The following is a 26,491-nucleotide window of genomic DNA, read 5'->3' as shown; positions in this document are numbered from 1 at the left end:
CTGACACAGGCCAAAGTGTGCATGTTACAGAGAAGAAGATCGAGAGGGTGTCAGGACTTCCAAAAGCCCTGGAGCAGATTCTGGAGGCCCACCTGTTGCCAGTAATATTGCAGATCCCAGCATATCAGGGGCACAGGAGAGATGAGCTCCTTCTGGCTCTGAGAGTCCATAATGCTTTGAGGAAGATTTAGCATCAGGCACATTCTCACATTTATTTAATCTTTAATACCCCTACTGGCACAGGATTGTTAACTGAATATCACAAATGAAGGACTCAAGGCCAGAGAACTAAAGGCTATGCCCGGCCTAATACCTTTTCCACTACAGTGCTCCCTGATGGTGGACTTTCATATCAAAAAAGCACAAGTAATACAAGCAGTAGCAGCAGTAACAGAAGTAAAAACGATGGCAATAATGCCATGCAATAGAATGCTTATTATATGCCCAGCTGAGTTCTCAGTGTTTTGCATGTAGCAACTCAATGAATTTCTGCAACAGCCTCATAAAGTAAGTACTAATTCCATTTTGCAGATTAAGAAACTAAGTGTGGCTGAGACTATAGATGGCAGGCATTTCCTTCAGATCTTACAACTTAGAAGGGCTCTGGATAATTTGCAATTGCTAGTACTTGTGTCTCTTTTTCTGGGGGCCTTTTACTGATGCCAGGAAGGTCCTCTCTACTTGCTTTCAAGGCAAAGAGAAGTATTACCGTTACCTGTGAATAACCTCAGGCAATGTCCAATGCGAGTTAGATAAATTTCCAACTCCCTTGCCTCTTTGGAGAGAAAGCTTTTTGAAGTGAACTTGCATTAGTCCACTCTCACACTGCTATAAAAACATAACTGAGACTGGGCAATTTATGAAGAAAAGAGGTTTAATTGGCTCATGGTTCCCAACCAATAACATTAAGGCTATACAGGCTTCTGCTTCTGGGGAGGCCTCAGAAAACTTACAATCATGGTGCAAGGTGAAGGGGAAGCAGGCACATCTTCACATGGCCAGCAGGAGAGAAAGAGAGTGAAAGGGGAAGTGTTACACACTTTTAAACAACCAGATCTTGTGAGAACTCTATCGTGAGAACAGCAAAAAGAAAAGTCTGCTCAATGATTCAAACACCTCCCACCAGGTCCTTCCTCCAACACTGGAAATTATAGTTAGACATTAGATTTGGGTGGGGACACAGAGCCAAACTATATCAGAACTTCTCTACCATTTCCCAGCAATCCCTGGTAGGATCCACAGTGGTAATTGGCTTTATTAGTATACTTCCCCTTCTCTGCCCAGTCTTCTACTGCTGTTTCCTGTATTTTTCTGTCCAAAAATACTTGTCTCCTTGTCTACTTCTAGGGGAACCCAACAGAAGACATTAAGACGTAGAGAAACTAAATAAATTGTGCAGGTCACCCTGATGTAAACTGAGACACCTCATAACTTTGAGTTACATTGTAACTTTACTTACAATGCTACATTCTCCCCACCCCTCGCCCCTGAGACTACCCTCAGTGTACTTTGTAATGGGGGCATTTATCCTCTGGTTGAACATGAAGCAGTAGGACAATGTTGGGCCTTGCTGTCTGTTTCTATGCTCACATCAGCCTGGGCCTGCGGAAATTCTTGACTGAAAGATGTTTGCAAAGCTGCTTCCGTTCAGTCCTGAACAGCAGTACAGAGGCAAAGAGTGGAATATGGGAAAACACAAAGTTCTGCACGACAGGAAATCACGTTAGAAAGCTGTGAAAATCATGTATTCTTTTAAGATGTGATGGTTTTAATTTTCTCAGGCCCTGATCTCCCTGGCAACAATTTAGAAGTGCATAAGCATTCATGAATCAGAGTGGGGCACATCTGCATGTTTAATTACATGTCATTGGATGGAAACTTTCCTTTTGATCTTAGCATTTAAGGGGATTTACACTTTAACAATTACATTTTTTCTTTCTCCTCCCAAAGTCAATGTGGGTTGTTGAATAGTGTCAGCAGAGTTGGGCATAGAGGGAGGATGTTAAGAAAGCCAAGGAGATTTTCTTCTGTCTAGGATGTAGTATTGCACTGTCTACAGGCTCCTATTCTTGAAAAATGGGGAATCTGTGAGGGTCTCACCAAGCAGACCCTTTACCCACTCTAGAGGAGGCAGTGCCAGTAAAGACCAGGGCTTAGATACAAGACAGGCTATAGTTTCCTTACCTTGTTCAGCAATGAGCCTTGATGATGCTCCAAGCCTTTGCAAAGACACATTAATTCTACTTTCATGGCCAGGCTCGGTGGCTCAAGCCTGTAATCCCAGCACTTTGGGAACCCGAGGCAGGCGGATCACGAGGTCAGGAGATCAAGACCATCCTGGCTAACACAGTGAAACCCTGTCTCTACTAAAAAAACACAAAACATTAGCCAGGCGTGGTGGCAGGCTCCTGTAGTCCCAGCTACTGGGGAGGCTGAGGCAGGAGAATGGTGTGAACCCATGAGGCAGAGCTTGCAGTGAGCCGAGATCGTGCCACTGCACTCCAGCCTGGGCAACAGAGCAAGACTCCATCTCGAAAAAAAAAAAAAAATTCTACATTCAGAAAGGAGATCAGTGGTTGCCAGAGACAAATGGAAGACTCTCTACCCTCAATAGAATTTGAATTGCTTTGTCTTCCTTTTCTAAACCTTCTCTTTCCTCCTTCCCTTCACTGCCACCTCTTCCATCTTCTCCCCCTGTTATCAGAAGGGGACCCTATCCAGATTCCAAGAGAGGGTTCTTGGATCTCACGCAAGAAAGAATTTAGGGTGAATCCACAGAGTAAAGGGAAAGCAAGTTTATTAAGAAAGTAAAGGAATAGCCAGGGTGCAGTGGCTCACTCCTGTAATCCCAGCACTTTGGGAGGCTGAGGCGGGCAGATCACAAGGTCAAGAGATAGAGACCATCCTGGCCAACACTGTGAAACCCCATCTCTACTGAAAATACAAAAATTAGCTGGGCATGGTGGCGTGTACCTGTAGACCCAGCTACTCGGGAGGCTGAGGCAAGAGAATCACTTGAACCCAGTAGGTGGAGGTTGCAGTGAGCTGAGCTAGCACCACTGCACTCCAGCCTGGCAACAGAGCAAGACTCTGTCTCAAAAATACAAACAAACAACAAAACAAAACAAAACAAAACGAAAAAGTAAGAAAGAAATAAAAGAAAGGCTGCTCCACCAACAGCAAGACATCCCCCCAAAGCAAAAGGAAGAATGCGCCCACCTTAGTTGCAACGTTTGTTCGTATATGATAAAAAAGGCAAAAACTCACGGGGGTGGTGTACTCTACTACAAGGTGCTGGGACAAAGGATTTTTCATCTTTCTGTAACTACTGTTTTCTGCAAGAATCTATGTTACTATATTTAAAGCAAAACTCATTCTGTTCTTATGTTTATTTTTTTATTTTTTTGAGACAGGGTCTTGCTCTGTCACCCAGGCTGGAGTGCAGCGGTGTGATCATAGCTCACTGCAGCCTCAACCTCTTGGGCTCAAGTAATCCTCCCACCTCAGCCTCCCAAGTAGTTAAGACTACAAGGGTGCACCACCATGCCTGACTAATTTTTGTATTTTTTTAGAGACAGGGTTTCCTAGACTGGTCTCAAACTACTGGGCTCAAGCAATCCTCCCACCTCTGTCTCTCAAAGTGCTGGGATTGCAGGCCAGGCGGCAAAACTTATTCTTAAACAAATCATGCTTTTGTTCTTAAGATATCAAGACAGCAGGCCATTTCCTGGGTCTGTTAACTCCTAGATCTGTTTGGCAAACATTGTTAACCTGTTCCCTTAACCATAAACATCCTATGACTAAGAATGCCTAGCCTCCTGGGGAAGCAGCCTAGCAGGTCTCAGCCTAATTCTACCCAGCCCCTATTCCAAATGGAGTCACTCTGGTTCGAATGTCTCTGACACCCCCATCCCGCTTACTTATTTTCTTTCTTCCTCCCTCCCACACATAATATATTTCAGTGATTTTTCCGAGCCATCCATTAGGGAAACATATGTAAAAGACTTGTCAGGAACCCTTAAGGTCCAGAGGGCAGAAATGTCTAACCCTTTCCATGAGGAATTCATTTGTGTCCAGGAGTATACACCACTGACTCAAAGATTGTTACTGTCCATGTTCCTTCCTTATAAGAACTGACCTGACCTGAACGGTTATTCAGCTCTACATTCACTCAGACAGACACCCATCTATTTAACATTATTTAACACAGCATTAATGCCAATGTCATAAGGCTGTAAGGCCAGGCTATTTGGGTTTTCTCCTGAACCCACTGTGTACAAATTTTTCTCCTTCACTGTGCCTCAGTTTTCTATCTGTAAAATGGGCATGATCAACCCTCAGTGGGTTAAACTGATAATTAAAACAAATGATATTGGTATCTTAGGAATATACCAATATATTGATATAAACCAATATATATTGGTATATATATAGGTATATATGTATAGAATCAATATACCAGTATATTGATTCTAATATAGCCTCCTTCTTGGGATTAGTTGTTTAGGCACATTGTGGGGTTAAGACTATAGTAGAGGACATAGGGGGCCGGGCATGGTGGCTCACGCGTGTAACCCCAGCATTTTGAGAGACCAAGGCAGAAGGATCACCTGAGTTCATGAGTTTGAGACCAGCCTGGCCAACATGGTGAAACCACGTCTCTACTAACAATACTAAAATTAGCCAGGTGTGGTGGTACACACCTATAATCCCAGCTACTTGGGAGGCTGAGGCACGAGAATTGCTTGAACTCAGGAGGTGGAGGTTGCAGTAAGCCGAGATCTGAGATCACAGCACTGCACTGCAGCACCTGGGCAACAGAGCAAGACTGCCTCAAAAAAAAACAAAAACAAACAAACAAACAAAAAAACCCCCGAAAAAAAACTGTGGTAGGGGATTTGGAAGGGAAGGGAGGGGTAGATAGTGCTTTTTGGAACATCTCAGCTTCAGTTTTGCCAAATGAATGAATGAACGAATAAATGATTGAATGAGTTAGTAAAATGACATTTCTAAACTCATTAAGAAAATCCTGAGGACCACAGCATATAGGAGTTAGCATAAGCAAAGACAATGTACCAATGGTCAGAGAGAGAGAGCTGGGGTCAGGACATCTGAAGTTTACCCCTTTCTCTTATTAAGTGTCGTCAGTTTGTGTGTGTGGGTGTGTGCACAAGGAGCACATGCTGAGGGAGCAGTATGACCCGGGTGATCTCCAAAGTCTGTTCCAATTTGGATGATCCATCTGGCTGTTCAATTTTGGGGTGCTTTTTTTCAGAATACCTAAGCATCTGCAAGCAGATGCCTGGCTGACACTGTCTTTCTTACCTCACCTAGTTGAGAGTTGAACAATCATTGAATTAATGTGTGGTCCTGACACTTTTCTATCTACACTCTATATATACTTTTTTTTTTTCTTTTGAGATGGAGTCTTGCTCTGTCACCCAGGCTAGAGTGCAATGGCATAATCTCAGCTCACTGCAACCTCCGCCTCCTGGGTTCAAGTGATTCTCCTGCCTCAGCCTCCTGAGTAGCTGGGATTACAGGCATTCACCACCACGCCTGGCTAATTTTTGTATTTTTAGTAGAGATGGGGTCTCACTATGTTGGCCAGGGTGGTCTCAAACTCCCAACCTCGTGATCTGCCCACCTCAGCCTCCCAAAGTGCTGGGATTATGGGTGTGAGCCACTGCGCCTTGCTTCTATCTACACTATTAGTAGACTCTGCAGCACTGAAAACCAGCACCCCTCCTCTCTCCTGCATCTCAGGGCAGATTCAGGGGTGCCCTGGTCAAAACAGCTTCCCCTGTGCATTTCCTCTGTAGCACTTTCCATAGTGTGTCCTTATATCTTCAGCAAATCATTTTCTCTTCTGTCTCTTCCATAGCAAAGTCATCTCCAAGACAGCAGGAACCATGTTTACTCTTTAATCATTGTATGCTCCCTAAATATTTGCTGAACAAGTGAACAAAAAACCTGGTGGTGGTGAAATTAGACTCCTTCTTGGTGTCACCAGGAGGTCCAGGTAAGTTGAAGGCATAGAATGGACCTGAGAAGAACTTGCTAATCATTACAGTGGTACAGTCACAGGACTGTCTGCCTCCCATGGAATGAGCTCTCACTTTGCCACAGTTTTTAAACTAGAGCTGCATGTTCAGGCTACTGGTCATGTGATTTCCTGCATCAAGCCATAAGTTGGGTAAGATGAGTCATCAAAGGCCTTGAACTGTCTAGAATTCAATGAAACTAAAGCATTCACATATCACTTGTGAATGGTGTCATATCTTTGTTCTCCATGAAAAAAAGTCCAATGAAATACTCATTCCGTTGTGTTACTAACAAGAGCTTGAATTCAATCATACATCCACCATGCATCCATCCACCATGCATCCATTCATCCATCCCCCTTCATCCATCCATTCATTCATCCATCCTCTTTCACTCATCCATACTCCTTTATCCATCTAATCTCTCCATTCATCTGTCCATCTACCCATCCATTCAACCATCCATCAATTCATTCATCTATTCATCCATCCATCCACCCATCCATCCATCCATCCATCCACCTTCCATCCATTCATCCATCCTTTCATTCATCCATACTCTTTTATCCATCTATCTCTCCACTCATCTGTCCATCTATCCATCCATCCAACCATCCATCCATTCATCTATTCATCCATCCATCCACCCATCCGTCCATCCATCATCAAACAACATTGATACATCACTCCTCAAAGTCATGCGAGGTCCAATGAAACCACAGATAAAACATGTGGTCTCTGAAGAACCCACGTATTAATAGGGGAGAAATACATGCTAATAGTAATAATAATAATATCCAATACCTATATAGTACTTTATGACAGGCACTGTTCTAAGTGTTCCACAAATATTAACTCATCTATCTCCAGAAGAACCCTAAGAGGTAGGTACTATTATTGTCATTTCGTATGTGAGAAAAGTGTACTTAGAATTTTCACTCAATTTAGAATTTGAGATGCTATAAAAATAGCCCTGGTTTAGCCTACAGTCATGTGGATCTGAAACAAATACTTTTTTTTTTTTTTGAGATGGAGTTTTGCTCTTGTCGCCCAGGCTGGAGTGCAATGGTGCGATCTCAGCTCACTACAACCTCCGCCTTCCCAGGTTCAAGCAATTCTCCTGCCTCAGCCTCCTGAGTAGCTGGGATTACAGGCATCCACCATCACGCCCGGCTAATTTTTGTATTTTTGGTAGAGACTGGGTTTCACCTTGTTGGCCAGGTTGGTCTTGGACTCCTGACCTCAGGTGATCTGCCTGCCTTAGCCTCCCAAGGTACTGGGATTACAGGCGTGAGCCACCATGCCTGGCCTGAAACAAATACGTTTAAGAATGAACTTATTGCTGTGGTGGAGGTGGCTGTTTTGAGTGACAATATCCTTTCCAGTCATCATTGTAGAGAGGAAAGAATATTGCTCTAAAATTCAATAATCTGGATTTTAGTCTGGCTCTGTGGTTAGCTGGGTGGCTTTGAACAACTTGCTTTCCTCCTCTGGGCCTCACTTGCCTCCTCTGTAAAAGGATCCTAAATCTGTGTGTGAGAAAGGGCAAGGGTGGTAATGACTGGATTCAGCAGAATCCCTGCATACAGTTGTGTAAGTTGCGCACTGCACAATCCCAGGGGCCACCACGTACATAGGCTAAATGTGAATGGAGCCACCTAGAATTGTTCTGCATGGTGACCTGTCTCTTGGGTGCCTTCTGCCTCTAAAGATTTTGCAATTCATTGAAGATTTTCTTTTATCCGGATATGAAACACTATTCTTTGTATAAAGGATGGAACCACATTTTCCTCCCCAATATTTTCTAGCCTATCTGGTTTTGAGTACAACTTAATTGCAGCCGGAACTCTCCATGTGAAAAAATCTTCTCCAAACTCCTCTAGCATCTCGACTTGCTTTCAACATTTCCCTAGAGAATCCTCCCAGCTGTGGCAATGTTTGTGCATAGGCAGGCAAATTTGAAATTCTGTGTCTTCACAGTTGGATAATTTCAAGACAAGCCCAAAGTACATTAGCAGAGGAATGGGGAAGAAATCCATAAGGAAGCCATGTAAGCAGCCTTAAGCAAGAGAAAAGTGGGTGATTCTGATAATGCGACAAGTACCAGGGACCCAGAAAGGATCAGAATGAATAAAAGTATATATTTTAATCAAATTAATGTTTTCCTATTATAAAAGTCTCATATGCTCATTATAAAAAATTTGAAAAACAAAAGTTTTAACATAGTATACTTCACCTTCACCTCCTTTTGACCTTTCCATTCTTTTTTTTTTTTTTTTTTTTTGAGACAGAGTCTCACTCTATTGACCAGGCTGGAGTGCAGTGGTGCAATCTTTGCTCAGCTCACTGCAACCTCCACCCCCTGGGTCCAAGCGATTCTCCTGCCTCAGCCTCCCGAGTAGCTGGGATTACAGGTGCCTGTCGCACCTGGCTAATTTTTGTATTTTTAGCAAAGGCAGCGTTTCACCATGTTGTCCAGGCTGGTCTTGAACTCCTGACCTCGCGATCCACCCGCCTTGGCCTCCCAAAGTGCTAGGATTACAGGTATGAGCCACCATGCCCGGCCTCCTTTTTAATTTTACTTTTTTTTTTTTTTTTTTTTTTTTGAGATGGAGTGTCGCTCTTGTTGCCCGGGCTGGAGTGCAATGGCGGGATCTCGACTCACTGCAACTTCTGCCTCCCGGTTTCAAGCAATTCTCCTGCCTCAGCCTCCGAGTAGCTGGGATTACAGGCACCTGCCACCACACCCAGCTAATTTTTTTGTATTTTTAGTAGAGACAGGGTTTCACTATGTTGGCCAAGCTAGTCTTGAACTCCTGAGCTCAGGTGATCCGCCCACCTCAGCCTCCCAAAGTGCTTGGATTACAGGCGTGAGCCACCACGCCCAGCCCAATTTTACATTTTATACCCTTTTTATTTTGCTTTCTGTTTAACTATATTCACGGTGTAGGTAAATTTCATGAACATTTTAGCTTTTTAAGCCTATGGCTATTTTACAAACAATTTATCTCATACTATCACAACCACTTTATAAACATAATGTTTAGTTAAAAGTTTTATTGATTCACACCTGTAATCCTAGCATTTTGGGAGGCACAGGCAGGCGGATCACCTGAGGTCAGGAGCTTGAGGCCAGCCTGGCCAACATGATGAAACCCTGTCTCTACTAGAAATACCAAAATTTGGGCATGGTGATGCACGCCTGTAATCTCAGCTACCCCGGAGGCTGAGGCAGGAGAATCACTGGAACCCGGGAGGCAGAGGCTGCAGTGAGCTGAGATTGTGCCACTGCACTCCATCCTAGGTGAAAGAGCGAGACTCTGTCTCAAAAAAAAAAAAAAAGGTTTATTGATATAATTATAGATTCACATGCAGTTCTAAGAAAAATTACAGAGCACTCTATATCCAGTTTTCCCGATGGTAACATCTTGAACAACTATAGTACAATATTACAACCAGTATGTCATTGATATAATCAATTCATCTTTTTCAGATTTCTCCAATTGTATGTATAACTCATTTGTGTCTGTGTGCATGCACATTTAATTTTATACAAAGATATCATATCTGAAGCTTTATCGGCCACCATCAAGACATTGAGCAACACCATTACCAGGAGGACACCTCATCATGTCACTCTTTTTCTTTTTTTTTTTTTGAGACAAAGTCTCACTCTGTTGCCTGGGCTGGAGCGCAGTGGTGCGATCTCAGCTCACTGCAACCTCCGCCTCCCGGGATCAGGTGATTCTCCTACCTCAGCCTCCTGAGTAGCTGGGATTACAGGCGCCCGCCAATACTCCCAGCTAATTTTTTGTATTTTTTAGTAGAGACGGGGTTTCACCATGTTGGCCAGGATGGTCTCGATCTTTTGACCTCATGATTCACCCGCCTGGGCCTCCCAAAGTGCTAGAATTACAAGCATGAGCCACAGCGCCAGGCCATGTCACTCTTCCATAACTACACCCATCTTCCTTTCCTTTCCCACCCCTAATCTTTGGTAATCTTATTTTTTCTAAAATTTTGTCTTTTCAAAAATATTCTATAAAATCATACAGTAGTACGTTAACACTTCGGGGTTGGCTTTTTTCACTTAGTGTGTGTCCGGAATTGGGGGGGTTTTTGTTCTCACTGACTTCAAAAATGAACCTGCGAACCCTCGCTGTAAGTGTTATAGCTCTTAAGGTGGCGCATCTGGAGGTTGTCCCTTCTGATGTTCGGATGTGTTCGGAGTTTCTTCCTTCTGGTGGGTTTGTGGTCTCTCTGGCTTCAGGAGTGAACCTGCAGACTTTCCCAGCGAGTGTTACAGCTCATAAAAGCAGTGTGGACCCAAAGAGTGAGCGGCAGTAAGATTTATTGCAAAGAGTGAAAGAACAAAGCTTCCACAGTGTGGAAGGAAACCCCAGCGGGTTGCCACTGCTGGTCCCGGCAGCCTGCTTTTATTCTCTTATCTGGCCCCACCCACGTCCTGCTGATTGGTAGAGCCCAGTGGTCTGTTTTGACAGGGCGCTGATTGGTGCATTTACAATCCCTGAGCTAGATACAAAGGTTCTCCGCCTCCCCATCAGATTAGTTAGATACAGAGTATCCACACAAAGGTTCTCCAAGGCCCCACCAGAGCAGCTAGATACAGAGTGTCAGTTGGTGCACTCACAAACCCTGAGCTAAACACAGGGTGCTGATTGGTGTGTTTACAAACCTTGAGCTAGATACAGAGTGCCGATTGGTGTATTTACAATCCCTGAGCTAGACATAAAGGTTCTCCAAGGCCCCGCCAGACTCAGGAGCCCAGCTGGCTTCACCCAGTGGCTTTCGCACTGGGGCTGCAGGTGGAGCTGCCTGCCAGTCCCGCGCCATGCGCTCGCACTCTTCAGCCCTTGGGTGGTCGATGGGACTGGGCGCCCTGGAGCAGGGGGCGGCACTCGTCGGGGAGCCTCGGGCTGCACAGGAGCTCACGGAGGCGGGGGAAGGCTCAGGCATGGCAGGCTGCAGTCCCAAGGCCTGCCCCGCGGGAAGGCAGCTAAGGCTGGGGGTGAGAAATCCAGCACAGCGCCAGTGGGCCGGCACTTCTGGGGGACCCAGTACACCCTCGGCAGCCGCTGGCCCGGGTGCCAAGTCCCTCACTGCCCGGGGCCGGCAGGGCCAGCTGGCTGCTCCGAGTGCGGGGCCCACCAAGCCCACGCCCACCCGGAACTCCGCGCGCAGCCCCAGTTCCCGCTCGCGCCTCTCCCTCCACACCTCCCCGCAAGCTGAGGGAGTGGGCTCCAGCCTTGGCCAGCCCAGAAAGGGGCTCCCACAGTGCAGCGGTGGGCCGAAGGGCTCCTCAAGTGCCGCCAAAGTGGGAGCCCAGGCAGAGGAGGCGCCCAGAGCTAGCGAGGGCTGTGAGGACTGCCAGAACGCTGTCACACCTCTCATTAGCATAAATTTTCTGGAGATTCATCCCAATTTTTTCATTTAAAAAATCAATAATTTATTCCCTTGTTATTGCTGCATAGTACCCACAGTATACGTATACCACAGTTTGTGTAATCATTCCTGGGTGAAATACACTGGGTTATTTCCATAGACTGTTACTAATAAAGCTACTATTTTCAGGATTTTTTGTGAACATAAGTTTCCATTCCTCCGAGTTAAATGACCAAGCACACAATTTCTGGATTGTGTAACATTTGTATATTTAACTTCATAAGAAACTGCCAAACTGTTTTATGGAGTGACTGTGCCATTTTACATTTGTACCAACAGTGACTGAGTGATTCAGTTTCTCCATATCCTCACCAGCATTTAGTGTTCTTACTATTTTTTGATTTGGTCATTTTGCTAGGTGTCTAGAAATATATTATTGTAGTTTAATTTGGGGAGGATTTTAAATTACAAATTCAATTTTTGAATCATTATGGAGCTGATCAGGTGATCCACTTCATTTTGGTTGAGTTTTGGCAGTATGTGGCTTTCAGGAATTTGTCCATTTCTCCTAAGTTGTGGTTTTTGGTGTTCTCTTAATGTTTTAATGGCTACAGAATCTGCAGCGATATCCCAGAATATGATATTAATATACTCTATATGTACGGTGTTATATTTTTGATATTGATGATTTGTGTCTTCTATTTTTGTCAGTTTTTCCTAAAGTTTTATCAAATGTACTCTTTTGAAGAACCATCTTCTTGTTTCATTGATTTTTCTGTATTGTTTTTCTTTTCTTAATTTAATTAATTCCTGATGTAATTTTTATTATTTCCTTCCTTATGCTTGCTTTAGATTTTGATATTTTGGATTTCCTGAGGCATAGGAACTTAGATTACTTATTGAGATCTTTCCTTTTTCTTTATGTAAGCATTTAGTGTTATAAATTTTCCTCTCAAAATCTCTTAACTACATCCCAATATTTTGTTATGTTTTATTTTTGTTTGCTTGTATGCACTTTTATTTGTTTTGAAGCTTCCTACTTGGCCAATGGATTATTTAGGAGTGTGTTGTTTAATTTTTCCTGTTTAGTTTTCATTGTTTTTGTCTTATTGATTTCTAGTTGGAATCCATGACCAGAGATCACACTGTATATAATTTCAATGTTGTTTTTTTTGTTGGTGGTGGTGGTTTGTTGTTGTTGTTGTTGTTGTTTGTGGTTTTTTTTTTTTTTTGAGATGGAGTCTCACTCTGTTGCCCAGGCTTGAGTGCGTGGCATGATCTTGGCTCACTGCAACCTCAGCTTCCCAGGTTCAAGCAACTCTTCTGCCTCAGCCTCCCAAGTAGCTGGAAGTACAGGCATACGCCATCACACCTGGTTAATTTTTGTAATTTTAGTAGAGACAGGATTTCACCATGTTGGCCAGGCTGGTCTGAAACTCCTGACCCCGTGATCTGCTCACCTCAGCCTCCCAAAGTGCTGGGATTACAGGTGTGAGCCACTGTGCCCGGCTATAATTTCAGTTTTTAAAAATTTGCTGAAGTGTACTTTGTGGTCCAGGATATGGCCTATCTTAGAATATGTTCCATGAGCACTGGGGAAAAACATAGCTTATTATTTTTTTGCTTTTTGCTGCGTTCTACATATGTCAATTAGAACCTGTTGGTTGATTGCATGATTCCAATCTTCTATATCTTTGCCAGTTTCTACCTAGTGGTTTTATTAGTGGTTGGGAGAGAAGTGTTAAATTCTTAAACTCTAATTGTGGATTTGTCTAGTTCTCCTCTCAGCTCTATTGATTTTTGCTTCAGGGATCTTGACACTCTATTCTTTGGTCCATACACATCCAGGTCTTCCTGGAGAACTGATCTGTTTATCATATATAATAATGATATGTCTCTCTTTGTAGTAATTTCCTTTCCCAAGAGTCTACTTTAACAGATATTATTATAGCCACCCTTGATTTTCTTTTATTATAGTATTCTTGGTATATATTTTCTATCCTTTCACTTTTGACCTCCTATCTGGATTTGATGTCAGTTTCTTGTAAACACCATATAGTTGTGTCACAATGTTTTTATCTACCCTACCAAGGTCTAAATTTTGTTGATGATGTTTTAAGGCCACGTTCAGTGAAAGTAATTATTGATTTATTAGTGCTTAAATATACCTTTTTTCCTGATTTGTTCTCTCTGTTTTTCTTGTCTCACCTTCCTGAAGATCCTGTCAATATTTTTTAAATATTCCATCTCAGTTAATTTATAATGTTTTTGACTGTATTTCTTTGTATAATGTTTTTAGTGGTTGCTGTGGAAATTAAAATATACATAATGTGACTTATCATGGTCTAAGAGTACCAGAATTTCCAGTACTTTGAGTGAAGCATGAAAGTCTTACTTCCAGTGGGGTCTCTTTGCCTTCTCTGCCTTTTCACGTGTCAGTCCTGAGTATCAGATAGTTTCATAATTTTTGTTGCAATCATCAAATATGATTTATAAAGCACATGAGGAAAACAATGGTCTATTGTATGTACCCAGATTTGCTCTTTCCATTGTTCTTTTTTCCATCCTGATGCTCCAAGATTTATTCTTTTATCATTTTCTTTTCTATGAAGAACTTCTTTTAGCCAGTTCTTTAAGCCAGGGACTTTTTAAAGAGTTTTCTTTACTATGAGAATGTTATTTCTCTTTCCTTGCAGAAGGATAGTTTTGCCAGATATGGAATTTGTGGGTATTACTTCTTTACATGCTTAAAGAATCGCATCTTGATAGTGTGATGATTTCCTACAGCTGTGTCACAAACCACCATACACTTTGTGGGATAAAACAGCAGTGATTATGTATTATAATCTCTCATGTTGCTGGGCTCAGCTGGGCAGTTGTAGTCTCTCATGGAGTTGTAGTCAAACCATAGCTGAGGCTTCCTTACTCACCTGTCTGATGGGTGATGCTAGTTGTGAGTTGGGGTCTGAGCCATGCTGTTGGCCAGATCACTGACATGAGTTTGTTCTGTGTGGCCTGGGACCCAGCCTGGTGGCTGGGTTCCAACAGCAAGAGTTCCAAATTATTCCAAGCTGATGCTGTATTGTCTTTTTTGATCTAGTTCTGAATGCCACGCAATATTGCTTCTGCCATTTTCTATTTTTGAGAAGTGAATCCTTAAGACCAGCTCATGTTCTAGGGAAGGAGAACTAGACTTGATGGGTAGAAATGTCAAAAAATTTAAACACATGTCTTAAGACCACTACATATAAAAAGGAAAAGAGGAATGAGTGTCTGGCCAGATGTGAGAAACCCATGTCAGCTGGAGCTATTATAAGTTGTCAGTGGCCAACTCTGTATGCAAGATAAGAAAAGGAATGATACATCTCATCTACTGCAAGAGAGGGTTTGGCAGGGGAGCTGTGGGAGTAACTCTCTGCCATTTGCACACGAGACTCAGGAATTATAAAATCTCTTATGAAAAAGGGGCTTCTTTCAACTAAATGCAGAATTCTGCATTTCTTATTAAATGGGTAGATTATGTTTCTCCAGAAATGTGAGGGTATGAGAAAGAAAATATGTGGCTACAGTATGTTTTTCTGCACACCAATGCTTTCATAAGCTATAAAACCATATTCTGTTTCTTAAAGAAATCAGTGACAGGGTATTGAATGTAACACTCTGAACAGAACATTTCCAGCGGTATATAGCATTATAAGAGTAAAACAGGGACATTGTGAGATTGAGACTAAGATGGCCTAAGTGTTAGAATATTTTATCCCTTCAATGACTCATGAGAATGTTTTTAGTTAGCAGGAAGGAGGCATGATCTTGTGCTAACAGTTTTTCTCATATAAAAACTCAGGCCAGGTGCGGTGGCTCAAGCCTGTAATCCCGACACTTTGGGGGGCCAAGGTGGATGATGACCTGAGGTCAGGAGTTTGAAACCAGCCTGGCCAACATGGTGAAACCCAGTCTCTACTAAAAATACAAAAAATTAGCCGAGTGAGATGGAAGATGCCTGTAATCACACCTACTCGGGAGGCTGAGGCAGGAGAATCGCTTGAATCCGGGAGGCGGGGGTTGCAATGAGCCAAGATTGCACCATTGCACTCCAGCCTGGGCAATGAGAGCGAAACTCCATCTCAAAACAAACAAACAAAAAAACAAAAAACAACCTCCCCGAAAAAATGTATATTATATGTCCCAATCATATGATTACTGTAGTTTTTGATTGATAATGCACATATTTTTATTTTGTTGTTGTTTTGGTTCTGGAGTCTTCTGTCTTTTAGGAAGACTCTACCAACAGATTTAATAATTAAACTGGACTTGGATGTAGACTTGGATGTAACACGATTCTATCTGTCACTGTACTTTAACTTTTGACCACTTCCCTGGTTTTTTCATCTCCACTAATGCTACATGAAATTTCAGTTAGGTTCCTTCAGCTTTTAAGGTCATTCTTGAGTAAAAAAATGTCCCCCTTTCAGTCTCTAGCTCAGCCTTTTTGTGGCTGGGAAACCTGCAGTGGGGAGTGGGAGTGGGCAGTAGATGATGGTGGCCTCCTTCCCTGTTTCTCCTTCCCTCTGTCACTCTCTGACTGTACTTTGGGTCTCTGTGAGTTGGAAAGGATGAAGGAGGAGAGGAAAGGTACACTTGACTGATGCCATTGGATTTACCATTGGAACTGCTGGGTGTGTGTTAATTCTCTTCCTTATGGGGGTCTCTTGAGGGTTCTTTGGGCATCCCCTCTCGGTCATCAGGAATCCTGCACCTGAGCTTCCCTTGAAGTGGGCAATGCCTCTTCCCCTCACGGCTTTTAGTGTTCTGCTCAGCTCCTGTCCTGAAGTTCACCCTCTGTTGGAGTTATCTTGACCCTTACGGAGGAGCCCCTTTAGCAGGTCCATATCTGGCACGTAGAGATCTCACTAGAGTTTGCCCTGCCCACTCTAGACCTACAGGCCATTCTGGTACAGTTCTTTCTCTGTGTGATGGCCAGGTGTGAGAGTACAAGCCCCTTTCTGCAGCTCAGTCACAAGTGAGTCAGATGCCTAGTTCCCTATGATGTTCCAACCCCAGAGCCACACAGAATACCCCCAGATGGCTTTCTTCTAGCCCACTCTCTTGCCCTGAGGCCTCCTGAGGCCCTGAGTGGAGATATGGCATACTAACAAGTCTCTCCAGAGAAATCCTCCATACCCTTCTTAATCCATTCCTATATAAGCAGCCTGTCACAAGACCAATGCTAGCTGAAGCGGTTTGGCATCTCTTAGCATGTCCTGAACAAGGTCTAGGACCTTAATGAAGGATGTTCGTGTCCTTGACACATTTCATGCTTGTCTTGGCCTTTGTGATCTCTGCCAAACTCTGAGCAACAAGATCTTTTTTTTTTTTTTTTTTTTGAGATGGAGTCTCGCTCTTGTCGCCCAGGCCAGAGTGCAGTGGCAAGACTGCAACCACCATCTCCTTGGTTCAAGTGATTCTCGTGCCTCAGTCCCCTGAGTAGCTGGGACTACAGGCGTGCACAACCACACCTGGCTAATTTTTGTATTTTTAATAGAGACAGGGTTTCACCATACCGGCCAGGCTGATTTCGAACTCCTGACCTCAAGTGTTCCAACCACCTCAACCTCTCAAAGTGTTGGGATTACAGGTGTGAGCCACCATGCTCAGCCTGTGCAATGATCTTAAACATCCAAGGAAGTGTGAGCTTATTGCAGAACTCATCTGCCTCCTGAGATCTGGCACTACAAATGACCAAGAACTGTTAGATTCTGCAGCTTTCGTTTGTAGCTAGGACACAGGTAAGGTCTCTGCCACCCACGTCGGAGCTGAATCACAATTGCAGTTCCTTTAATTATAAATATTTAAACATGGATGTAGAGTGTAGAATGATAGAAAATGGAGACTGCGAAGAGTGAGAGGGTGAGAGGGAGGGCAGATAACGGGAAATTACTTAATCGATACAATGTATGTTATTTGAGTGATGGATACCCAAAAACTCTAACCTTACTATGCAATCTATGCATGTAACAAAATCACGCTTGAACCCCATAAATCTGTACAAATAAAAAAAGATTTAATAAAAAGTAAAAAAGAAAACCCCACAAATATTAAGTTACTTTTACAAGTGTGTATCAAAGACTCTGTCTTCCAGCCAAATGAATTCTAACTGGGGAAAACTCACATTGACTATCCCATGGGAATAACTGGAGTTTCAAATAACTCTTGGCAGCTCTCCACTAGGATATTATTTTGTAAATGCCTTTAATAAGGAGACTTTCAGAGGCTGCAACCTAGAAACTCAGCCTAGGGTTGGCAACAGGCAGGCACTTAATCAAGTTGTAAAACGCGTTCTAATGTAAAAGGAGAAGAATCGGCGGACAGCTGGCAGGGACGCTGTGCCCTGGCCAGGCTCTGGAAGGCTCTGCTGGGCACCTTTAACAGGTTGCAGCCAAGAAACAAGAAATGGGCCAGCGGTTGCTAGGAGAAGTGCTTGGGTAAACAGAATTCTGGTCCTCCCTGCCTCTTCGTGACATCTTTTCAGCAGATGCAGTTTCAAATGGAGTGATTGATTCTACCTTTTCTCCCCACTCCCCCCTCTTCAGGCAGAGCCAGCCAATTAGTTTAGACATTTCTATTAGATTAGGAGCCAGGAAATGAGAAAAATCCTGTCTCACAAGGGAGCTCTTCTCAGGTCACATGGCTGCCTGGCAGAAATGCAGAGAAATAAACAAGAATGTTTTGTTTGCGGGGCAGGGGACCTAATGAATGACCACTTCTGTAATTTCTCTGTTCCTTCTTCCACCTCGTGCTCCCCGTGCCCCTTTGTAACCTTTCTATTCCTGCACAGCCATTCTGTGCAGTCTCTGAACACTGCAATGTTAGAATCATTCATAGGGGCCGGGCTCGGTGGCTCGTGCCTGCAATCTCAGCACTTTTGGAGGCCAAGGTGGGCAGATCACCTGAAGTCAGGAGTTTGAGACCACCCTGGCCAACATGACGAAGCCTCACCTCTACCAAAAAATACAAAAATTAGCTGGATGTGGTGGCACTTGCCTGTAATCCCGGCTACTTGGGAGGCTGAGGCAGGAGAAGCATTTGAACCTGGGAGGCAAAGGTTGTATTGAAACGAGATAGCGCCACTGCACTCCAGCCTGGGTTACAGAGCAAGACTGTGTCCCAAAAAAAACAAAAACAAACAACAACAACAAAAAATACAAAGAATCATTCATAGGATCACTGAAGCAAAGAATCTTACAGTCACAGAATGTGACATGCTTGATGTTGTGGAATTGAATTGGGCAGAAAGAAGGTATGCTGTTGATTGGCTGGGTGAGTAGGAAAACTGCCTAGCCTCTCAAAGCCCTGGTTTCCTCATCTGTGAAATGGGAACAATGACCAGAATGATCAAACTGGAGAACATAGCCACAGCATTATATACCATAGTGCTTAGGATATGGTGGGAATTCAACAACCCCAAGCCCCCTTATTTTTTATTTTATTTTATTTATTTATTTTTTAGAGACAGGGTCTTGCTCTATTGCCCAGGCTGGGGTGCAGGGGCATGATCATAACTAACTGCAGCCCCCAACTCCTGGGGTCAAGTGATCCTCCTGCTTCAGCCTCCTGACTAGCTGGGATACAGGTATACACCATCAGGCCTAGCTAATTTTTTAAAAATTTTCGTAGCGATGAGGTCTTGCTATGTTGCCCAGGCTGGTCTTGAACCCAGGGGCTCAAGTGATCTTCCCACCTTAGCCCTGCAAAACACTGTGATTACAGATATGAGCCACTATGCCAGGGACCACATCCTTTTCAGCTATATTTTCACAAACTTGAGATCCTGGAATATTAAAGATTAAATAAACTAGGCACTTGCTAATTCAATTTCCTATACCATTTATTAATGTCCTCTAAACAATATATAGGTTGCCTGTGTTGCTCCTCTTAAATATAGCATTTAAATCTGAACTTGTCCAGCCCATGCACAATAAGGCAGATCTCTACACAACTAAGCATCAGAATAAAAAACCTTTGTTGAGCCAGTCAAAACCAATAAGTCAAAGCCAAGTTCCCTGTTTGATTTTCATGCAATTGTTTTTAGAACTAAAGGGAGGAAGTTTGCATTTATATCTACTACATTCCATCTCATCACACTTGGCCCATGAGCTCAACCTAGAGGGACACTATTTCATACCCCTCTATACCCTTCCACATCCAGAGTAGGGGAAAGAATCTCAGGGAGTTGCATTGTAAGCCATTGGCCAGCCACATTTGCTGAAGACCACTGAAAGTTACTTTATGTGACCCATCTCTTGTTTCTCAGCTGCAACCTGTTAAAGTTGCCCAGCAGGGCCTTCCAGAGCCCAGCCAGGGTACAGCATCCCTGCCAGCTGTCTGCCAATTCTTCTCCTTTTGCATTAGAATGCATTTTCCAACTTGATTAAGTGTCTGCCTGTTGCCAACCCGAGGCTGAGTTTCTAGGTTGCAGCCTCTAAAAGTCTCCTTATTATTTTTATTTTTTTGAGACAGAGTCTTAATCTGTTGCCCAGGCTGAAGTGCAGTGGCACATCTCAGCTCACTGTAACCTCCACCTCCCACGTTCAAGTGATTCTCCTGCTTCAGCCTCCCAAGTAGCTGGAATTACAGACATGTACCACCACGCCTGGCTAATTTTTGTATTTTCAGTAGAGATGTGGTTTCACCATGTTGGCCAGGCTGGTCTCAAACTCCTGACCTCAGGTGATCCTCCCACCTTGGCCTACCAAAGTGCTGGGATTACAGGCATGAGCCACTGCACCCAGCCTGAAAATCTCCTTATTAAAGTCATTTACAACATAATATCCTAGTGGAGACCTTCCAGAAGTTATTTGACTTTCTGTGACACCCCCCTTTATCAACACTCTTCTGTCTATGCTCTGGAAACCTGAAGACTAGAAAGCGACATCCACCTCTCTTGCTTCCATGACAAAGGGTACAGGTGAAAGCCAGATCGGGGGAGGGGGGCCTCTGGGACCCATTTTTCTTCCATGTGTCAATAGTGTCTTGGTTCGTTTGTGCTGCTATAGCAAAATACCACAGACTGGGTGATGTATAAAGAATAGAGATTGATGTATCCTGGTTCTGGAGGCTGGGAAGTCCAAGATCAAGGTGCCAGCAGGAGGCTTGGTGTCTGGTGAAGGCTACTCTCTGTTTCCAAGATGATGCCTTATTGCTATACCCTCTGGATGGAAGAGATATAGCAGAAGAGAAGAGGAACAAGAGAGAGCCCTCCCTTCAACCCCCAGCCCTTTATTTATTTATTATTATTTATTAATTTCTGTGAGACTGGGTCTTGCTCTATGGCCCAGGCTGGAAAGCAGTGGCATGATCATAGCTCACTGCAGCCTCAAACTTCTGGCTCAAGCCAGCTCCCAAGTAGTTGGGCCTACAAGCACATGTCATCATGCCCAGCGAATATTTGAAATTTTTTAGAGATGAGCTCTTTCTGTGTCACTCAGGCTGAGTACAGTGCTACAATCATAGCTCACCGAAACTTCGAACTCCTGAGCTCAGGCAATCCTCCTGCCTCACTCTCTTGCGTAGTTAGGAGGACTACAAGTGTATGCCACCACACCTGGCTAATTTTAAAAATTTTTTCAGATATGGTCTCACTCTGTAGCCAGGCTGGAGTGCAATGGCGCAATCTCAGCTCACTGCAACCTCCGCTCCCTGGGTTCAAGCAATTCTGCTTCAGCCTCCCGAGTAGCTGGGATTACAGGCATCCACCTCCACGCCCGGCTAATTTCTGTATTTTTAGTAGATACAGGGTTTCACTACGTTGGCCAAGGTGGTCTAGAACTCCTGACCTCAGGTAGTCCACCCACCTCGGCCTCCCAAAGTGCTGGGATTACAGTTGTGAGCCACTGTGCCCAGCCAGCACTGACAATCTTAATGAATATGTCCTGACTGATTCTCCACTGGGACTGGCAGGTATAAGAAACTGGACTGTATGTGAAAAAGCTAATACCTAAGAATTTAGGATAAATGTTTTAACATGTGGTCCAGTAGAGCTTACCTGAGCTCTGAATTGGGGTCTAGGATCCAGGCCCAGCTATCCTTAGTCATGTTGGTTTTTTTTTTCTTCTTCTTTTCTCTTGGCTTTGCCCCTAAAGTGAGGACATTTCCTTCTGAAACTCACCATTGACATGGCATCATTGTCTGGAGCAAATACCTGGGGTTCGTCGTCTTGTGCCAAGAACTTTAGGACATGGACACATGCAAGGAGTTTAGGAGCAGAAGGTTAATAGGCAGAGGAAAGAGGAAGGAGAAAAGCTCTCTCTCTAGTGAGAGAGAGGGGCTTCTGAAAAGGAAAAAAACCAGTGGAGTGCACCAGATTTATAGGCAGGCTCGAGGAGGCAGTGTCTGATTTACACAGGGCTCACGGATTGGTCTGATCAGGTGTTAGGTACACATAGTCTCTAGGAAGTCTGGCCATCCCACCCTAATCTTACCATGCAAATGGACTGTCCCCTTGACAGGTGCCGTCTTGTCTGCTCCTTACTGCACACATGGCTGGCAAGGGGAAGGGAAGATGGTTATTTTGAACATGTCTAGTCCCAGGTACCTTTTTCCTACCGTCATTCACCCGTGCAAGCTTCCAGCTTGCTTGTCTCTGTCTGCAGTTCTTTACAGGCTGCTCTTTGGTAGAAAATGATTTTCATGCTGCTTTTCATTAAAAAGGAAAACATTACCGAAGACACCCATACCCTCACTATCTGCCTAAGTAATTTCTTCTTAACTCCTATATCACCATGATGAGTAATTAGGGCATTGGACAAAATTAGACCATTCTTAGCCCCTAAACACCGTATTATCACTATCAAATTCTCCTGGCATTGGCCAGGTACAGTGGCTCATGTCAGTAATCCCAGCACTTTGGGAGGCCAAGGTGGGTGGATCACTTGAGGTCAGGAGTTCGAGACCAGCCTGGCCAATGAGGTGAAACCCATCTCTACCAAAAAACACAAAAATTAGCTGGACATGGTGGCACATGCCTCTAATCCCAGCTACTTAGGAGGCTGAGTCACAAGAATTACTTGAACCCAGGAGGGGAAGGTTGCAGTGAGCCAAGTTCATGCCACTGCACTCCAGCCTGGGCGACAGAGTGAGACTCTGTCTCAAAAAAAAGAAAAAAAATTATCCTGATATTTCAGCTCATTAGTGAATGGTCAAAGTCCTTACCAATGGTTGAACAAGGTGGTGTAAGTTTAGTTCCTATAGAATGTAGCCAAAGCATCACCCTTTGCCCCTTATAATTATGGAAACTTTGTTTTGGAAGGGCTTTTTCAGAAATGGAGCTTTACCTCCCTTGAGTAATATTCTGTTCTGGTGATCATTCACCATCTACTTGGATAAGGCTAATTATAGAAAGTTCACTATTGGTAGAAATCCCCATAACATCTAACTAATCCCTAAATTCAACTTTAAATAGAAAAAGGGCCCATATTCCTGTAGTTAGGAGTGTTAGATAATGCCTTCGCTGCATGGAGCCACTTTGCATTTGAACTACTCCCTGCTGTGTAGTAGACGACTTTATTGCACATAATACATGCTCAATAAATATGTGTTTAATCTATAAATTCAATAGTGTTGCTTATTGTCCTAAAGTCGTGGTGAGTAATATTTATATAATTGGCCAATCATGTCAGGGGTTTTGAAAGATGTATTATGTCAGCATAAGCAAACTATTTTTTCATTCAGTTTTCTCAACATTAAAAAAAAAAAACCCTTCCTCCTAGGCATTATAAAAGATGCTGGAAAAAAATAAGATTAATAAATGTCCCTTGATTTTGAGGATCCTAAATTCTCAAGGAAAGAGAAGGGATATGCACACAGCTGGTTATTTTGGCAACAAGACTGAGTTATACAAAGCAATGTACCAAGTGTATACACCACAGGACAGGGGGAAGCAGAGAAAATTTCAATACATAGACATAGAACCAACCCAACACACAGAGGTCAAGGATGATACCAACCCAATGTTGCAATTACTATAACCACATGTGCTCACTTTACTATCACTCCATTTCTGTCCTCAACCATTGGTATAAGTTGGCTCAATGGTTAAAACCATGAACCACCCTGATTTCCAACTCCTTGTTTTCCTTGGTGTGGGTAGATACACAGCCCAGGGCTATGGCCATTGTCAGGCCTCCGAGCCCAAGCCTGCATCCAGATGGCCTAAGGCAACTGAAGAACCACAAAAGAATTGAAAATGGCTGGTTCCTGCCTTAACTGATAACATTCCACCATTGTGATTTGTTCCTGCCCCACCTTGACTGATCAATTAACCTTGTGAAATTCCTTCTCCTGGACAATGAGTCTCAGAACCTCCCTCACTGAGCACCTTATGACCCCCACCCCTGCCCACCAGAGAACAACCCCCTTTGACTGTAATTTTCCTTTACCTACCCAAATCCTATAAAGCTGCCCCACCCCTATCTCCCTTTGCTGACTCCTTTTTCGGACTCAGCCCACCTGCACCCAGGTGATTAAAAAGCTTTATTGTTCACACAAAGCCTGTTTGGTGGTCTCTTCACATGGACGCACGTGACATTTGGTGCCAAAACCCGGGACAGGAGGACTCCTTCAGGAGACTGGTTCCCTGTCCTCGTCCTCACTCCGTGAGGAGATCCACCTACGACCTCGGGTCCTCAGACCAGTCCAAGGAACATCTCACCAATTTCAAATCAGGGAAGCAGTCTTTTCACTCTCTTCTCCACCCTCTCTCACTACCCTTCAATCTCCTTGTCCTTCCAATTCCAGTTCTTTTTTGTTTGGTGGTCTCTTCACATGCACATGCATAACAGTCAGGAAACCTGAACCTTGTACATTCTGGTCATTAGCAAACATGGAACACCTCCAGTGTTTCAAGCATAGAGCCACAGGGAGAGGTTGGGGGCAAAGGGATGTCACCAACAAAATCCTTGTCCTCAGAGGACAGAGTCTGGTCCTGAAGACTCATGTAGAATTAAACATGTCAGACACAGTGTAATAAAACCAAAGCAGAGATATAATGCCTTAATTTACTTTTTCCCAACTGTCAGTTATTTATATGAAAAGTATACACTAGACACTATTTATTACCTCACCTATAGCCAATTCTCACTTTTTCTCCTAATGAAATCTCCATGCTGAGTGCAGGTAGTAGTATCTCATCCTTTGATCTCAAGAAGGAATGTCCCTCATCCACGATGGGGTATGAATCACAATTTGTCTATGCCAGTCATGGTGTGGTAGAGATGCAAGCTGCAATTGTAATCAGTTTTACACATCTATTGCTATTGTTGTAGTAGACCTGAGTCCAACTTGAGACTACATTTTCCAGCCCTGTTTGATTAGGGTGGCCGTATAACTATACTGCTGGTGGAACTGGAAAGGAAGTAATATGTGCAATTTCTGCCTCATTTACTGAAAAGGAAATTTGGAGGTTTAAACTTCCACTCTTTCCATCTTCACATTGTCAGAAAAGGTGACACTCAGTAACTTTTGAAGCCATCAGCTTGAATTCCTGAGCTACTACATGGAGTAAAGCTTCCTGTCACCCTGAAATGCACACCTGGAAACTTCTACTATTTATTTATTTATTTTTGAGATAGACTTTTGCTCTTGTTGCCCAGGCTGGAGTACAATGGCGCCATCTCAGCTCGCTGCAACCTCCGCTTCCCAGATTTAAGCAACTGTCCTGCCTTAGCCTCCCAAATAGCTGGAATTACAGGTGTCCATCACCACACCTGGCTAATTTTTTGTATTTTTGGTAGAAACAGGATTTCACCATGTTAACCAGGCTGGTCTCGATCTCCTGACCTGGTGATCTGTCCACCTCGGCCTCCAAAAGTGCTGGGATTACAGTGCCTGGCCCACTAAATCTCTTTAATACCTATCTCCTTAAATATCCCAAAGACACATAAAGGGATTTTTAGGATCAAAAAGTGATATGGGCTGGGCAAGTGGCTCCCGCCTGTAATCCCAGCACTGTGGGAGGCCAGGGTGGGCAGATCTCTTGAGGTCAGGAGTTCGAGACCAGCCTAGACAACATGGTGAAATCCCATTGCTAGAAAAAAATTCAAAAATTAGCCAGGCATGGTGGTGCTCACCTCTAATCCCAGCTATTCAGGAGGCTAAGGCAGGACGATTATTTGAGCTCAGGGGTTAGAGGCTGCTTTGAGCTATCATCATACCACTGCACTCCAACCTGAATGACAGAGCAGGACCCTGTTTCAAAAAAAAGAGTATCTTATATTTGTGACATTGCCTTCTGTGTGTCTTTGTTTCACCATAATTTGAAAGTATTCATGAGTCCTCTAAGAGCTAGTTTTTCCTAGTGCTATTTAATAGTATGGATTTTTTAATTTATCGGAGTGCAGAAAAGGGATTTACTTTTTTTTTTCTCAAATAAAAAATGCCTCTCTCCATGAATCAAGTGCATTCTTGCTACTTGAAAACAGTTTTCAGGCGCAACCCCTCTGCCAAGGATTGACAAGTTAATAAGTTTTGTGGCAGGCATAATCATCCCCCTTGCCAGGAAAGTCCTGAGTAATCCTTTGGAGGAAGTAGCCGCTGACTTTGGAAATGCAGCCCTTCTGTGGGGTCAGGTGGAGAGAGCTGCCTGCATCAGACTGCCTGCCACTGGCTGCCTTCAACTTCTGGCTGGCAGAAGTTGAAATTCTCAGTAAGTGACATCTTGATGTGCTGGAAAGCAGGTTAGCCATGAGAACACAGGGACAGTGAGGGATTCAGGAACGCATTAGAAGACAGCCTTCAGGGCCGGGCGAGGTGGCTCACATTGGTAATCCTAGCACTGTGAGAGGCTGAGGCGGGTGGATCACCTGAGGTCAAGAGTTCGAGACCAGTCTGGCCAACATGATGAAAACTCATCTCTACTAAAAATACAAAACAATTAGCTGGGTTTGGTGTCAGGCGCCTGTAATCCCAGCTACTCAGGAGGTTGAGGCAGGAGAATTGCTTGAACCCAGGAAGCAGAGGTTGCAGTGAGTTGAGATCGTGCCATTGCACTC

General features: G+C 43.7%; 1 long non-coding RNA gene across 3 annotated transcripts in view, besides 1 other annotated feature; it reads left to right on the top strand.

Moving 5' to 3' along the window:
- Positions 1–26,491, top strand: part of LOC105375341 (uncharacterized) — a 170,147-nt gene that overhangs the window by 77,374 nt on the left and 66,282 nt on the right. For 2 of the 3 annotated variants that reach the window (NR_187905.1, NR_187906.1), the window contains exon 3: positions 5,885–6,022. This is a non-coding gene — a long non-coding RNA (uncharacterized LOC105375341). Of the gene's footprint in view, positions 1–5,884; positions 6,023–8,024; positions 8,196–26,491 lie in introns of those variants that run through there. The other variant, NR_187907.1, reaches the window with a different exon arrangement.
- Positions 3,254–4,011: an enhancer, noted in NCBI's record as "OCT4-NANOG-H3K27ac hESC enhancer chr7:67703297-67704054 (GRCh37/hg19 assembly coordinates)". NCBI's record gives its function as "activates a minimal SCP1, AML or CMV promoter by ChIP-STARR-seq in naive and primed H9 embryonic stem cells {active_cell/tissue: H9 hESC(naive and primed)}" and the evidence as "EXISTENCE:reporter gene assay evidence [ECO:0000049][PMID:30033119]".

Source organism: Homo sapiens, chromosome 7 (assembly GCF_000001405.40).
Source record: "Homo sapiens chromosome 7, GRCh38.p14 Primary Assembly".
NCBI lineage: Eukaryota > Metazoa > Chordata > Mammalia > Primates > Hominidae > Homo > Homo sapiens.
This window is presented reverse-complemented; position numbering and strand designations above follow the sequence as displayed.